At 37.6% G+C, this 17,325-nt stretch overlaps 1 protein-coding gene, 2 long non-coding RNA genes and 1 pseudogene across 4 annotated transcripts in view; 2 read left to right on the forward strand and 2 right to left on the reverse strand.

Moving 5' to 3' along the window:
• GYPE (glycophorin E (MNS blood group)) overlaps positions 1–7,316 on the reverse strand; it is a 34,696-nt gene extending 27,380 nt beyond the window's left edge. For both annotated transcript variants that reach the window (NM_198682.3, NM_002102.4), the window contains exon 1: positions 7,228–7,316. In NM_198682.3, coding sequence (NP_941391.2) covers positions 7,228–7,264 — 37 coding nt within the window. In that variant the 5' untranslated portion in view covers positions 7,265–7,316. The remainder of the gene's footprint in view (positions 1–7,227) is intronic.
• Positions 1–17,325, forward strand: part of LOC105377459 (uncharacterized) — a 125,977-nt gene that overhangs the window by 54,843 nt on the left and 53,809 nt on the right. The window lies entirely within an intron of this gene.
• Positions 13,270–14,007, reverse strand: LOC100420464 (salvador family WW domain containing protein 1 pseudogene; annotated as a pseudogene).
• LOC101927636 (uncharacterized) overlaps positions 14,088–17,325 on the forward strand; it is a 70,124-nt gene continuing 66,886 nt past the window's right edge. The window contains exons 1-2 of the long non-coding RNA NR_125886.1: positions 14,088–14,206; positions 14,297–14,395. This is a non-coding gene — a long non-coding RNA (uncharacterized LOC101927636). The remainder of the gene's footprint in view (positions 14,207–14,296; positions 14,396–17,325) is intronic.

Genomic DNA, 17,325 nt, shown 5'->3' on the forward strand with positions numbered 1-17,325 from the left:
GTGTGCGCCTGTATTCTCAGCTACTTGGGAGGCTGAGGCAGGAGAATTGCTTGAACCTGGGAGGCAGAGGTTGCAGTGAGCTGAGATCGTGCCACTGCACTCCAGCCTGGGCGACAGAACGAGACTCCATCTTCAAAATAAATCAATAAATACATATAAAACCAAACAGGAATAACCATATTAATCTTAGGCAAAGTAGAATTAAGAGCAAAGACATTACAAACAGTGAAAAAGATTTACTTGTGTCATTAAGCAATATATTTCACAATGATTCTTAAGTAATTATGGACCATTTTAGCCCAATAATATAGCAACGAGAAACATAAAGCAGAATAAGAAATTGGCAAAAATACAATACCATTGAGAAATTTTAAGTTTTCTCCAATTGTGATAGATCAAGAAAGCAAAAAACAAACACAGAAAGGATCTGAAATATATCTGCTTGCAATCACAAGCTATGGATTTATATGATTTTTTGCTAACGAATCAATGAAGACAGATTTTATTAGGCATTCCCATATTCCCATACACTCATTTTGAAAGAACATTTCTGTATTTCCTGATACAATGTTTCTGAGGTCTGAATCTAGCAGAATAGTTCAGGAAAGGTAGCAAGGGGAGAACTTTTGTGGTCTTTTTCCTAGCAAAATGCAATTTCAGTGCCATGATCTCTATTCTCAGTTGCCTCAAATAGCTGTACTATTCATGTTTTATGTTTTGTATTTATTTCCTTCTATTTTGGTTTTAAAAAATATAATGATGACTGGGAAATAAGTGATAACATCAAAAGGAGGCCTCCAGAATTTAAAAACATTTTCTATAGCCCATATAAAAAGGAGCAAAAGGCTAACATAACAGCCACACAGTTAGAGTTCCTTAGCTGCACCACGTGAGGAAGACAGACCGTCAACCTTCATTAAAGTCTTCAGCTTGGTGAAAGCACAAGCAGAACACTGAGTGACAATGTTGTAAGAGTAACGGAGCCAATCCTGGAACATCACTAGGTATGGTACAGGCAACATAACATATTCTCCAAGTGCACAGATTCTGCAGTGGAACTGCCTAGGCTCAAACTGATTCCTCTAGCAACTACCTGAGACCTTGCAAAATTAACTTGATCTCTATATTTTTGTTCCATCATTATACATGGATTAGTCTCTACCTTATAGAATTATTGAACAGATTAAGTTAAAATGCACATAATTTTTTTTTGCAAGAATGGAAAACCTAATCCTAAAATTTCTATGAAATTGTTAGGGATCTAAATAGCTAAAACAATCTGGAAGAAGAACAAAGTTCAGTGAATCACACTTCATGAATTCAAAACTTCTAACCAAGTAACAGCAATAAAATCTGTGTGATTTTGCCCCAAGAACAGACATATTCTTCGGATAGAATTGAGACTCCAGAAATAAACTCATATATCCATGGCCAATTAACTTTCAAGAAGGGTGTCAAGACCATTCAATGGGCAAAGGATAGTCTCTTCAACAAATGGTGCTGGGACAGCTGCAAAATAATAAAGGTGGACTCTTATCATACATCATACAGAAAAATTAACTGATAATAAACCAAAGATCTAAATATAAGAGAAGAACTACAAAACTCTTAGAAGAAATCATAGGGAGAAATTTTTATGACTTTAAATTTGGCAATCATTTTCAGATATGATATCAAAAGCGTAAGCAACAAAAGAAAAAAAAATTGGACTTGAAAATGAAAAACATTTGTGCATCAAAGGACACTATCAAAAGTAAAAACAAAAATCTACAGAATGAAGGAAAAGATTTGCAAATAGTATATCGGATAAGACTCTTTATCCAGAACATAGAAAGAACTCTTACAACTTAGCAACAGAAAGACAAAAATAGATTTAAAAATGGGTGAAGGACTAGAACCAACATTTCTCCAAAGATATGCAAAATGCAGTTACCAACAACTACATGAGAAGATTCTCAGCATCATGAGTTATCAGGAAAATGCAAGAAACCACAGTGAAAAACCATTTCATACCCTCTGAAATGGCTATAATTAAAAAAATGAAAAAGTACAATTTCTGGCAAGATTGTGGAGAAATTGGCACCTCATACACTCTGGTGAAAAGGTCAAAAGGTGCAGCTCCTGTGGAAAAGAGTTGAGCAGTTCCTTAGTAAGTTAAACATAAAATTACTATGACCCAGAAATTCTACCCCTATACATCTTTGAGTATTAAAAGTGGGTTCAAACAAAACTAGTACAGGAATATTTATAGCAGCACTATTCACAATAGCCAAAAGGTGGAAACAACACAAATTTTAATCAAATGATGGATCGATAAGCAAAATGTGATATATCAACCCAAATTTTCATCAAATGATGGATGGATAAACAAAATGTGATATACCAACACAATGGAATAACATTTATTATAAAAGGAATGAAATACTGATACACGCTACAATATGGATGAACTTTAAACACATTATTTTAAGTGAAAGAAGCCATACACAAAAGGCTACCTATTATATGATTCCATTTATATGAAATATCTAAAATGGGTAAATCTGTAGAGGTAGAAAACAAATTAGTGGTTTCCAGGGGCTGGAGGAATTGGAAGTGGCTGCTAATGGGTAAGAGGTTTCCTTTTGGAGTGATGAAAATGTTCTGGAGCTACATAATGGTGATGGGTGTGCATCATTTTGAATGCATTAAATGCTACCGATTGTACACTTTAAAATGGTTCAAATGGTAAACTTATGTGTATTTTACTACAATTTTAAAAATTAAGTGTATGTAAATCGCTTAGAACAGTGCATGGCACAAAGTGAGTGCTATATCACTGTTGGTTTTTATTATTCAGAACCTGCCTATGTACGGAACCTAACCTGCTGTATATAAATCTAGGGATGGAAATACCAAAGTTGATCAAATAACTGTTTATAGAACTTTGTACACTACAAACAAAGATGACATCATTTTTCCAGAGCTTACATATAATAATTTGGGTTAGACAGAAATTCTTAATAAATATCACAAATAAATTGTATAGTCATAGTCTATGACCAACGTACAAAAATGAAAGACTTCTTAGAAAGCAGAGATTGTGTTTGTTCGATTTACTTTTTAAAATATATTAAAACTTGTCCTGATTATATTATATGGTTCTCTTTGCAGAAAATTTAGAAAGTATTTAAAATGAGAAAAAAAAAATAAAATCTTACAATCCCAACACTCAGAGATACACCCGGAATTTTTTTTTCAACATTTTTGCTTTAGTTTTAGTTTAGTTCATTTATCACAGAAAACTACACAGATAGGTACTTACTAAAGATGTGGATATGATAATAATGGCTGGAAATCTATGATGTAAAAATGTAGGTCCAGCCTGATTTTGTCAGCACCATATAAGAAGGATTGGGTTTTTTTTTTGAGCAAAAGATATTACATTTGCAGTTGGTGTCAAAATATAATCTGTAAAGATAACTTGGGGGAAATTCCTCAAAAGTATACTTCTCAAATAGTCTCATAGATGTTTTGAATAATCTTCTAGAAACCAAGGTGAAAAGAAATTTATCACAAGAATGTGAAGCTAAATTTCCTAATTTAAAATCACTACGAAGTAAGTTTGAGATACCATCCCTACTTTCCCCTCTATTCAGACCTTTTCTGCAAAGGAGTTCACAGTGGGTGTCTGTTTCTCTCTAAAAACCCTATTTCACACCAAGCTAAAGATATCTATAGATTTGGCAACTAGTCCAGCTCATCTCAGGCTGAATTTTGGGGATTCATTGGGGTTTACAGATGAAAAATGATTGTAGATACCATCTACTCGGCGCTTTATTGAAAAGGCACAAGAAAACTGAGGCCCACGGGTGTTAAATGATTTTTCATGGCTAAACTAGTCTGCCACAAAATTCTGGTCATTTGTCATTTGTCATTTTGAGTAGTTGATACTGACTGCCTACTATGTGGCTGACAATGTGTGGGACACATAAGCAAAGACACAGGTTTGGCTTTTAAAGAATTTATAGTCATGTATTCCCTGGCATACAGTTCCTGTAACTCTTTCCTGTGCCAATTAAATAGACAGCTAGCAAGGCTCTCTTCTTGGATCCCTGAAAAAAAAAAAAAAAAAAGAGATGCCTTGTTTCTTCACTTAACATGTGCTTTTCAGACTGATGTACCTGCTGTGGTATGAGTCAGATGCACAGGGCAATAATGATCTGTCTATGCGGAGCACTCACTGTGTCTAACCAGATGAAAACAAATATTTCCTCTTTCCTTTCCTCCTCCCCTTCCTCCTGTCTCTTCCTTTCCCTTCTCTCTTCTCCCTTCTTGCCTCCCTCTCTCTCTCCATCCTCTCTTCTTTCCTTCCTTTTTCCTTTTCCTTCTTCCTTTCTCTCCCTCTCTGCTTATCTCTCCTTCTCCCTCCCTTCACCTCCTTCCTTGCTTATTCAACCAATATGCTACTATAAATACCAATCGGGAACTGTGCTAGATTCTGGGGATACACGGCTGAATAAAGTAGGCATGATGATATCACACCAGTCCCTTTGTTTCCTCCAATTAAATTAGTATATTATGACCTAGAATGCAAATTTTGTATGAATTTTTAAGTAAACACAAAAAAGCTTTTGGAGACTCCTGGTTTATGCCATAATTTCCTAGTTGAAGTGATATAGTACTGTATTTTCAAATTGGTTCTTAGCTTCAGAATCTGATTTTCAGATAAAAGCTCCAGCTTTTCCTTGAAAACACTAACTTACCTCCTGTTTCAGAATTTTTGCTCTTGCTCTTCCCTCTGCCTTCTGTCCTCTTTTCCCAGAATTTTCAGGGTTGGCTCCATTCTCCTTGTTCCACGTTTAGCATAAATGTCATCTACTCAGAAAATAACTCCCTGCTACCCTTTTCTTAAGCAGTTTTCGGCATTCATGTTTATCATCTTACCTGGTTTTATATGCTTTGTATTATTTTTGACTGTTTTTATCTTATTTTAATAAGATAGTTGTTGTTCCATTTATTATCTGCGTTCCCTCCCACCATCCACTGTGCCCAACCTCCGTGTATCCTCCATGGGAGCCCATTTTTCTTCCTGCCCTGGGCTCAGTGTCTGGTTCACAATCTGACATGTAATGACTGAATCATCAAATGAGTGCAGGAATTCAGGGACTGCGAATCAAGTCATATTAGAAAAAATGGTTCTCCATTTGGAAGAAGATCTCTGGTAAGTTTAGAATTAGAAATATTGGCTTTATTCTTAAGATTCCTGGAGAAAGCAAGGCAATCGTCTTTTTTTCATAGCAAAAAAAAAAAAAAAAAAGAAAAAAAAAGAAAAAGACTTCACCATGTTTAGTCTTCAGCTAATCAGTATGGGGGAAAAACTTGATCTTACACCTTTCTGTTATACTATTAAGTAGCCACATCAAGAGAGTTTCCTTGGAGGGTTTCTGAAGCTACGAAGATGATAACAGCTTGGGTACTGGAGACCATTGTAGCTTTCAGGGTCATCTTGCCCCAGTGACCTCTTTATTAAGTGCCATTTAAGGCTTTAATTCACTATCTGCTTGTGTAGTTGTAGAAATTAAAAAAAAAAATCATTTCTTTGCCAGGAACCCTTTCCAAATTTGGGGCACTTGTAAGTCACACAGAGTTTTCCCAAATGCTGGGCACACCCCCCAGTAGAGTATGCAGTGTCTAATTTTGTTTGAGTTACATCCAGTTTGGTTTGCCCCATGGAGCAACACAAAGAATACATCTTTTTTTTCTGTGTAATAGCACTTCAAATATATGAATACATATACAAATATTACACTACATCCCTTTCATTTGTTTTTTCTTCAAACTAAATGTTTTCATACTTTTCTGCTTAAAAAATTAGAGTAGCTATGTTTGTTTTCTGTTTTCTTTCTGTAATTTTCTTTTCTCTCTGACTTTTCAGAAATCACCAATCACATACGTAGGTTTGTTCCCTAGTCTGTAACTACTGATAGCTACTGCTTATTTTAATAATATATTATTAATACTTATTAATCATGATAGTTAATTCTAATCATAGAAAATGCATAGTAAGCTTAACATTTTACTTTGTTTCAGGCATCAGTAAGTGTATTCCATTAAACATTTTGTTTAATCTTTACGCAATTATTATAAGGCAAGTGCCAACATTGCCTGCATTTTAAAGACAAGGACACATAAAAATGTGGGCACATAATTTGCCTTAATGTTCCCCAGCCTTGAGAAGTAAAACTAGATTTGAACCCAGTTCTGTGTGTTCCTCATGCCTGTGCTCTTAACTATTGCACTATTTTATCCTCCCCTAGGGTATCTTAGAAAATGCTGATCTCTCTTCCCTGTATGCTACAGAGTATGCTCAGTAGATCCTCTCTTCCCTGTATGCTACTGTATGCTCAGTAGATCCTTGATACTTGCTCTCACTTGGATTACAGCAATGTCTAATAGACTCAGAATGTTTCAAGCAACTGCCTGCCCCCTGTGTGCTGGGCACTAGTATTGCTAACACATAAGCACTGCACTTGAGAGGATGTTTAACTATAATATTCTCAGAAAGAGGCCAAAATCATGTTTATTTAATACACTAAATTAATAATTAAATTTAAACTAAGTTAAATTCAAATTATTGAATACAATTTAATAATGACCCTATGATATTTATTTTAATGGATTTAAATTTCTCCTAAAATTCACATGACATCTAAGCCAGTAAGAGTTGTTTTTGTTTTTGTTTCTTCCTATGTGACACTTTAGTAATGGACCCACAGAGAAGCGAACAACTCCCCACGGTTTCAGTGTTCATGCTTTTGGCTTCTCACCATTTGGCAGAAATAGGAAATTATACCTTTTTAAAACTAAAAGCCATATAACACCTTTGTTAATAACTCTTTAGTTTGGAAATGAATCTCCTTATAACTCAAACAAAGCAATACATTTATTCACAGAGAGCTATTTCTCATAGCATTTGATAAAATTAGTTTAATTCTAGCTAGACTTAGAATTGAAGTAAGCTTCTCATACTAGAAAACTGGATTCGGCCATAAATACTGGGCTCCCTTGTGCCATTTCCCCCACATTGGTAGCTGAGTTCCAGTAAAATCCATCCACCAGACTGGAAGAGGAAATACTACTCATTTATGCATTTAAATAAGATAGAACTAAAATAGGGTAGTTTACATTTTATTCTATGATCTCATACCCAATATAACAGAACCAAGATGAAATAAAATCACTTACCTGACAATAGTAATACAAAGATTATTTTTCCATACATCCTGAGATCACGAGCTGGCTCCTGAAGTTAGTGCAAAAAAACTACCAAAGACAACTGCAAGTGTCAGTGTCTGGCCTTAGCCTGCTAGCTGTTATCTTCCAGGCCCACCTTCCTGTGGCCATCATCAGCTGATAGGCAGGGGAGGCATTTTAAATGATGCAAGTTGTTAAGCGCCTGTTAATAAAGATACATGGATATCTTGGGGCTATGAAAGTGGTAAGTACAATTTTCACTGCAAGGAACAGGTGGCTACTTGTGATATTAACTTTGCATCAGTTAAGTGGGCATGGTAAGGTGGTAGACAGGAGCCACCCAACTGGACAAAGAACTGGACTGTGAATCTCTGAGGCCAGGGCACGTGCCAGGCTGAGGTAGCTGTTGTGGAGCCATAGACCTTCTCATTTCTAATGTCAAGACCCGGTGGTCCAGATGAAAGTGACTTCCTATATGTGAAATGAACATATTTGAGAAATTTAAATCATTTGAGTGTTCTGAGGTTCTGAAAGACTCCCAAACTCATGGTGAGTCACACAGCAATGTAAGAGACATGAGATGCAACAAATCTTTCAGTGAAAATAGAGTTTGAACTGAAGAGCTAGTGCTGTGCAGCTATGAAACCAGTGAGCTGTTTCTGTCTGAAATATACCTTGCTAAGTAAGCATAAATGAATACCAAGACAATAAATGAAAACAGTCAGAAACAAAACCCAACAAACCAAAAACCTTATCATTAAAGTAGGTTAAAATGAAAGGTATGGAAATGTGAGGAAGCTCAATTTTAAAGGGAGACAGAACAAAAAATATAAATTAGGTCTGAAATGGTTCAACAGAAGGTGACTGGATACTCCATCTAAATCATCTTACTTCCTGTAAGATTTTTGTGAAAGTCTTTCCTGCCTGACCCAGAAAATCAATTTGCTATGTAAGCAATTTGCCACATATATCATACTTACATATTTACCCAAAGTGTGGTTTAAAAAAATCATTTATGAAGCTAATGTTTGCAGATTCAGGAAACTGGACCACAGAGAAAAAAAAGTATTTACTGGATAAAAGATGGAGATAAGTATCAGCAGAGCATCCCAGAGAGGGAGGAGCCTGAGATTGAGGGACTAATGGATGGAGGGAGTGGAGATGCAGACTTGGGAGAGACGGAAGAATGAATGACACAGACGGGGTAATCTGAGCAGCAGGAAAAGAATCCAGAGTGCCTCTTAAGGCCCTGCCAATTCATGTAAAACAACTGCAGCAAATTTTATTAAAAACTTAAAATTAAACAATACATAATAATTTAATACCTTCCATAAATTCAGTGTTTGTTATGGCTGGATATCAGTTTGGGTTGCAGGAATTGTGCTCAAGAGTCAACCAAGTAAAGGAAATGTTGTTGATATTCATATAAGCAGTAAGAATTAATTCACATGATTTTATATTGACAAAGGGAGAGCGATTAGCATGAGTCTTAAAAATGCTATTTCTGAAAATGGGTAAATAAATGTCACTATTCTTACGATGGACTATTAGAGCAACTATTAAAATCATGTTTTCAAAAATAAAGATATGGAGACTCAGGATAAAATGGATAAGTGGAAAACAGCAAGATCTGAAAATTGTATATACACAAATAAAATCCTATTGGATTCTTTTTTTCCTGGGTTGTGCTATCTTCACCTGGAATACACCTACTCCTTTTTAGGTGGCCTCCAATTCTGCTTAGGGTCTTCATTGAATAGTACTTCCTCCACGAAGCCTTCCCTGACTTCCTGTCTTTGTCAGGTGCCCCTGCTCTATACTTGTGTGGTTCCATCTTCTTCCCTTATCACAGGACTTATTACACTACGTTGCAATCATTGTGTCTCCACTGGACTACAGTTTTTAAGTGGACACACCCTGACTATGGCTATCTTATTTACCAATGAGTGCTTGGGGCACACTTGACAATAAATATTTCTCAAATCAATAAATGACAAATGAATATTGCAGTGCAGAGGAAAGCAACTTCTCACGGGCAGTCCTGGGTGTATAGGCTGATCATTTTTTATATATCCTGCGGGTAACCTATGTCATATCCTAGCTTCAGGTTCCCTCCAGTATGGAGGTCCATTGCTAAGGCAGGAAGGGGAAAATGAAAAGGAAACTCAGCCTAAAATTCAGCTTTCATACCTTCTTCAGCCTGGACTGGTCAGAGTCTGAGAGTGCTTTCTTTTCCATGACCTCCCACTTTCCTTTCCTGCAGAATCACATCGTTAGCAATTCTCTAAACTCCTGTAGTGCTGACACAGGCCTGTTTATTAACACCTGTCTCAGGTTGTTGTGAACAATCTGTTCCTTTGTATTTGTGGGTCCTGTCTCTGTTGTTCTGTTTCCAGCATCTGGCACAATGCCCTATAGAGTACCTGGCCCTATTAAAGTAAGTCAAAACCTGGAGGGTTCTCAATGAGGAAATCAGAGGTCAGATTCAGCACCTCACACAGGGTGTGAGGAAGCAGTGCCGTACAGTGCTCTCTAGTGGCGTATCTGCACAATGGAAGGAAAAAATGTGAGCCCCGTAAATGCAACAACAAAAAAAATACATCAGATTACATTTTTCTCTTTCAGGCATTCCTTAATCTTCTTTAAATTTTTCAGAAATATTTTTACTGAAGTACACATTCATAATTATCATAAAATTCTACCTATGAGCTATATCATGCAAATTATTAGACAAATCCACATCTTTTAAGAATTTTGAATCTTTGCATAAAATAAAACAAGTACTTTTGAGGCATTTAATCAAACATAAAAAACTTATCCAATTTTCTTGATACTACATGTCTTTAAGCTATTTTTTGAATTGCCCGAGTCATTTCTATGACGTAGTTAAGAAGGATGAAGTTCAATGTTATAATCTAGGAAAGGCAACTTGGATCGATCAACACAAACTTATACCTTGCTTGTTTCATGACAGAGAACCATTCATTTTTGTCAATTACTTACCTCTCAACTATTTCAGGCTTAGATTATTCCTGAAGATGGTTGCATGCTAGTCTGATCTGCCAGTGGAGAAGTGTGCTTTTCATGTTTTGCATGGAGGAGTGGAGAACAGGGGAGGGGCAGGAAAGTTGAGGCACTGTGGTTTATACTACTAGCCTCCTTGGTACCTCATCGCCTTAGAATTGTCCAGCCTGCCTTGCCAGAGTAGTCTAAGAACTTTCCCTGACCTTTGTTAGTTTATCATTTCAAAATTTTTTTAAAATAAAAAAACAACTACAAGTAAGATAAATCTAACACTCAAAATAACCCTGTTAGAGAGGCAGAACAGATATTAGCATTCTTATTTTATTTTATTTTATTTTTATTTATTTATTTTTTTGCAATTAACTTGTACTTTATTTTGAAGTTGTGACCGGAAAGTTGTTTTAAAGTCTGTCTTTAAACTTACAAATATTATGTCAAATTGCTCCTAAGAGAGGATCAGTAGAGATTTAGTTCTTATAGTATTTCCTCAATTATATTTGGCAAATTAGATTTTCAAAACAAGAGTTTAACTTGTTATTAATTCTTCATGTTTACATACTTAAACCTCAGGTAGAAAAGTATTACAAGCTATCAGTGGCGTCTGCAATATAGGTGGGAAAGGTGAGTGCAAAGAATAACACATATTCTATATTAACAGTAAACATAGCTATTTCTGTTCTCCCTCAGCTACCAAAAACTGTCTTAAGCCTCCAGATTTAAAACCGCTGGGTTCATTCACTCATTCAGCCATTTATTTTTGTGAGCATCTCTTAGGCAGTCATGTGCTATGCTAATCCTATCTGACTCTTCCCTCTCCTTTGTCCTTCAAACCCCGTTAGTGGCCAAGTCCCATTAATTTGGGCATGTCCCACTTCTCCTCTTTCCAAATTTCTGAAGTATAGGTCAAGTCCTCATTAACCACTGAATATGCACCAAATGGAAGATTATGCAGTCATTAAAACCACTCATAAAAAGTATACAACATGAAGAAAATCATTCAAGTAAAAAGAACAGAAAACTGTACAAAATATTATATAATCACATCCATGTAAAAAAAGAATTTGGCATGGAAAAAGATGAAGAAAATAACATACTAAGAGGATCTCTGGTGGACAGGTACTTTGCCTTTACGTTACTGCATTTTGCAAATTTCCCGTAATAAGCAGTTATTATTCTAGAAGAAAATATAAATGAGCTTTATTTTTAAAACTTACTATTTTAGTTAGATAACAAATTACTCCTGAGGTTCAGAACTGTATATCAGAAATAACCAAAATAAACACAAGCATGCAGCTAATTCTTTAACCTAATTCCTTAAAAACTAAAAGGTGCTTTTACCCATGCCTCTTACTGCATTTCCACATGCCTAGAAAACCTCTCCTCTACAATGTTCCAGTGAGACTCCGATGTCAGCTTTCATAAAATAAGTTGTTCTTACCAACTATTCCACATTATTTTTAAAACTTCAGTGATCTGCTTTCTCCTAAACTCTAATTCTCATTTTTCCTTCCAAAGCATCCTAGATTTGCCTTTTCCTATTACCACTGGTACCCACTGGTACCTGCAATCCTCTTTTCTCTAGGAATCTACCCTTAATTCTAGTACAAAACTAATCTTTAAACACTGCTTTCATAAAATCACTTGTCTTTCTGAAATGTGCAAGAGCTTCCACTTGACTCAAATCTAAGCCTATTGTTGAACCACAAATCTCCACTCGACCTTACATCTTATTTCTTCAAACCAGGCAGAACTACACTGTTCCTTATATTTAAACCATGCCTACTCTGTTTTCATTGTGCTATTCCCAATTTTCCATGTAAAATGTCCTTCTTCTGGCCCCTGTTAATCTAAAGGCCAAGCTCAAGGCCCACTCCAAGTCCTCCAATCATCTCTTTAAGTATTCCAGCCTATACTCATCTCTCTTCTGATTCCCTGTTGCACTTACAGTTAGTATCACAAAGTGTAACAATTGTTCTGTGACTATTGTGTATAGATTGGTTTTGTTTCCACAAATAAGATACTAGACAAATAAGGTACCAGAAAGCAGAGACCAACAGACCCAAGGAAAACGCTAGACACATAAACAGTTAATACTAAATGAATAATTTTTTTCTACAGTCAAAATACTAATGCTCCAAACCATTTTTAAGTCGTCTTATTTGAAGTTATGTGAGCCAAAAAGTAAATCTGTCTCACATTTTATTTTTATCCTGCCAAAATTTAAAGTCTATAACTTGGTAGAAAAAAACAATCGGACAAGAAAGTTTAATTTTCCTCTCACTTAATTTTATCTGGTAAAACCAGGACTTCAGGAATAAAGTAGAACTGTACATTTCTCCCATCTCTTCTGCTCCTTTCAGAAGTATCTCCAACTCAGGAGATATGGAAAGTACCTTCTTTTCTTAAATTATATGGTAATATTTTTTGTCTGTTACAAAAATAATAAAAAGACATGCTCAACACATAATTAACCATATGACTATAAGTCTTTTTGATCAACTCAGGAAATAATTCTTGAACTACTTTTTGTTCAGAGAAAAAGTGCAGGATCTAGCGAAGTAATGTGATTGCTCAGGGTATCACTGACCATGCCCAGTTGTTCCTATTCTTCTTTCCTTTCCCAAGTTCGTCAAGTGTCTCTGAGGACTCAGTCAAGTGTCTCTGAAGATTTACCCTTCCCATTATTCTACCAAACCTAAACCTAAATTCAGCCCAACTGGAGACATTAAATTCTCTAGGTTTTCAAGGGTCACAGCATTAAGAGACTAGACAGCCTTGAGATAAGTACCAAGTTTATATAACATGAGTTAATAAAATAAATGGTCACAAGGACTCTTCCATTCAGTGTAGATTAACAACTATTTGCACACAGGCTTAAGCAGGACGAGCAAAGTGGAAAAATATTTCGCTAGTAGTATTTGTCCGTGTCCCAAGAAAATCTAGAAAAGAACATCTTTTTAATTGACATGTCAATAAATATAAACTACTATATTATTTATAATGTTAAGCTACCTGAAGCATGCCTCCCCTGATTCTGTGGCATTCTTTGGAAGAGATCATGGTTGTATTCATAATATCTGTAGTCTTCATGTGCACGATCTCCAAGTGGCCGCTTTCTCTGACCATCAACAAAATTGTCTGAATAATAATATCGGGAACCAGAGTCTCCATTTTCAACAGCAAAACTAACTTCCGTTACAAATGACTGAGAAGAACCATACTCTCTAGGGACATCTGCTAGACTTCTGGCAAGATAAGAAGGTGCAGATAATCTGTTGCTTTCTCTTCTCATTATTTTATGAGGTGTTCTTTGAATTGGAGTTCTAAGGAAACTCTGGTTTCTTGAAACTACTCCATCTCCAGAAGTTGAAAAGGCATTAGGGCTTGAATCTGGAAGACAGATATCAGTTCGTCCTGGAATTTTTGGACCATGCTGGATGAATGAAGGCATAAGATTCCGAAGCAGAGGCGACGTCTCCTTCTTCACGTACTTCCCCTGCACCTCGGCCGGCTTGGACACTTCGTTTTTGGTTTTCTGTCGGGACAGCATCCTTCTCGACCAGGCCCGAGGCCGCGCTGAACTGCCTCGCTAGGGCTCCGCGCCGGGCGCCGGCCGTCTCCGCCGCCACCTCCGCCGCCACCTCCGCCGGCGCCGCCGCCTCCTTCCCTCCGGAGCCGCCGCCTCCGCCGCTGCCTGTCCGGAGCCTGGGGTCGCCCGCAGGGACTGCCGCATGTTCAGGGCGCTAAACGCGCCGGCCGCCGCTCAGTCGCTGGTCACTTCCTTCCCGGAAGTCGGCCCGCTCTGCGACGCTGCTCGGGGACCCCTTGAGGAAAGCCCAGCGACGCCGGGCCAGCGCATTCTTATTTTATGTATGAGCAAACTATGGAATGGAAAAGAGATTATGAGTTATTACTTGATTTGATTTGCCCTAAGTGTTTTTTAAACGTATGGATTTAGCGCCAACATTTAAAAAGAAGGTATATTTTAATTAAAAATCAGGAATTGATTTAATTTAAAATTTGGCTCCTCTTACAGGAAGATCTGGCAAGAGTTAGCGTGCAGTTCTACATTGTGACAATTCATGAGAGCTAAGGACTGGCTGTCTCTTGGGACAAATAGGCTTTCTTGAGTCTGGTAAGTGCTCCACTTGATGCTTGCTTCCATTTCTTAGATTAGGTTCTACTGTGGTAAGGCCTCAAAATCTCAGTGTCTTGCAGCAACACTGGTTCATTTCCTGCTCACATTACATTTGGTCTATGACGGTGACAAGTTCCAGGATCCAGACTGAAGGAGCCACCCCCATTTGGAATATGCTGTTCTTGTTGCAAACTGGGGGAAAAAGGCCAGATAAGGAATGGCTTTTAATGCTTCCTCTCAGACTGTGTTATGGTTTTTTTCTCACATTCTATTAGCCAAAGTAAATCAGTGGCCAAGCTGACCTCAATGGGACAAGTAAATATAATTCTTCCAAATGGAAGTCCTGCAAGTCATAGGTCAATGGTGAGGATATATAAAACACTTACAGGAAGGGCCCTAATAATTGGGAGCAAAAACACAATCCATCGCATTCATTTATACTCTTTCTAAGCTTTTGGCATTTGGGTTTGGAAATCTAATTTATTTAGGAGTCTTCTTCAACACCTTCTAGTGATGAGATTTCTTTAACCCAGTTTTCAGTTTCCTTTCTTTAAAATTATAATGAGATGTGATGTGCGTTGAAGAAACCCCAGAAGTGAGAAACTCTCATCACTACAATGGTGATGTAGACAGTGGAAAACTGTTCCCAGTTGCCTCTAAGTCCATCGTGCTATACTGCTGGAATCAGGTATCATACATAATCTTTCTGCTGAGAATTGATAGGTCCAGCTTGTTCTACATCCAAATAATAATTCAACCAATGATTTGTGAGCACCTACCGGGCACTGTGCCAAGTGTGGAAGACACAACCTTCAGTAACTCAAGTTTCCCTTCAGGAACTGACAGCTTAATTTGGAAACAAATAAATTAAGAAGGCAATTGCATTATGGAGTGTCAAGTGGATGATAGTAGTAAGCAAAGGGTGTTATAAGGGTACATAAGAGGGGTACCTAACTCAGGGTTGAGGTTCTGGAAAGGTTTTCCAGAGCAAGCAATGAGACCTAAAGGATGAGTAGACAAGTCACGGGAGAAGTAAGAACATTTTAAGCAGAGAAAACAGCATGAGCAATGGTCTGATATCAAGAAAGGCAGAGATAGTGCAAGAATACACAATGTAGTAGTTTTCAAAACTGTTTGAAATTTTAATCTCACATTTGTTCTTTTCAATGTCTAGGATATCAATTCATTCTGCGATTTACCTTTGTAAAGATGAATTTAGCCCTGGTTCTCTATATGAATACTAGAGGAAGTATATTGATAAAAGAAAAGGAACAAATATGTAGTCATTTCTAAGATTTATTTTTATTAAAATGTAACACTCACAAACTGTAAGTGTGTAACTCATATATATATATACACACATATACACACACATACATGAGTATATGTGTGAAACTGTCACTCAAATCAAGACATAGAACATTTCAGATGTATTCCAGAGATCATGGTGGATGGGAGGCAGGACTGGATTGCAGCTCCCACTTGGACAGACAAAGCAGCGTGTGGAGGCTTGTATCATGAACTTTGACTGCAGGAATAAATCAGGAACACTGAGAGAACCCACAGACCCTCAGAAAGAAGCGGATTGCTCCTGCAGGTCTCAGGAGACACCCCAAATGCTGTGGGAGCCCAAACTGCAAACTGTGGAAGTGGGAAAGGGGAATAGTCAGCTCCTGAACACACATCCTCACTGGGGAACCTAAAGGTCTAGATCACAGGAGAAGATTTTGACCTTACTTGGAGCTGAGTCAATTTAGAGAGCCAAGTGACATACACTGCTAGAGAAAGCAGGGCGTAAGGCCCTGTGGGCTCACTGGGTTCCCTAGCCATCCATTTCTGCCTTGCCTCACGGGGGTCCTTGAGGAGGGCTACCAGAGGCACTGGGAAATGGTCACAAAGAGAAGGAAACTTCCAGCTGAACTTTAAAACAATTTGAACAGATTGAGAAGTCTCCTAGCCAGAACTTGGGGGAGGGCATGAATCCAGTGTGCAGACTCTACAGGTGGGGAAGTACCAAAGCCCTACTTGCTTTTGCAGCTGGGAGGCTGGTAGCCTGGGGCAAATTCTCAGCCCTGCTCACCCACTGCCTGGAAACAGACTCGGTGCTGTTGCAGGGGCTATGGTGGGAGTGAGACCAGCCCTTTGGGTTATGTGGGAGCTGGGTGAGGCCTGTGACTTCAACTTCCCTGACAACCTGCATGGGATAAAAATCAGGGATAAAAATCACTACAGCTCTGCTCTCAGGAAGCCACATCCCTGGGAAAAGTGGGAGAGTACTACATCAAGGGAACACCCTGTGGGACAAAAGAATCTGAAGAACAGCCTTGAGCCCTAGACTTTCCCTCTGACAGAGCCTACCCAAAGGAGAAGGAACCAGAAAGCCAACTGTGGTAATATGACAAAACAAGGTTTTTTAACACCCCCCCAAAATCTCACTAGCTCACCAGCAATGGATCCAAATGAAGAAGAAATCCCTGATTTACGTGGAAAAGAATTCAGAAGGTTAGTTATTAAGCTAATCAAGGAGGTACCAGAAAAGGCAAAGCCCAATTTAAGGAAGTGAAAAAAAATGATACAAGAAATGAGGGGAGAAAGTTTCAATTAAATAGATAGCATAAATAACAAACAATCAAAACTTCAGGAAAAAAATGGATGCGCTTATAGAAATGCAAAATGCTCTGGAAAGTCTCAGCAATAGATTCCAACAAGCAAAAGAAAGAACTTCAGAGCTCGAAGACGAGGTTTTCAAATTAACCCAAACCAACAAAGACAAAGAAAAAAGAATAAGAAAATACAAGGAAAGCCTGCAAGAAATCTGGGATTATGTTAAACAACCAAACTAAGAATTATCAGCCTTCTTGAGGAAGAAGAGAAATCTAAGTTTGGAAAACATATTTTGGGGAATAATCAAGGAAAACTTCCTGGCC

This window comes from Homo sapiens, chromosome 4 (assembly GCF_000001405.40).
Source record: "Homo sapiens chromosome 4, GRCh38.p14 Primary Assembly".
NCBI lineage: Eukaryota > Metazoa > Chordata > Mammalia > Primates > Hominidae > Homo > Homo sapiens.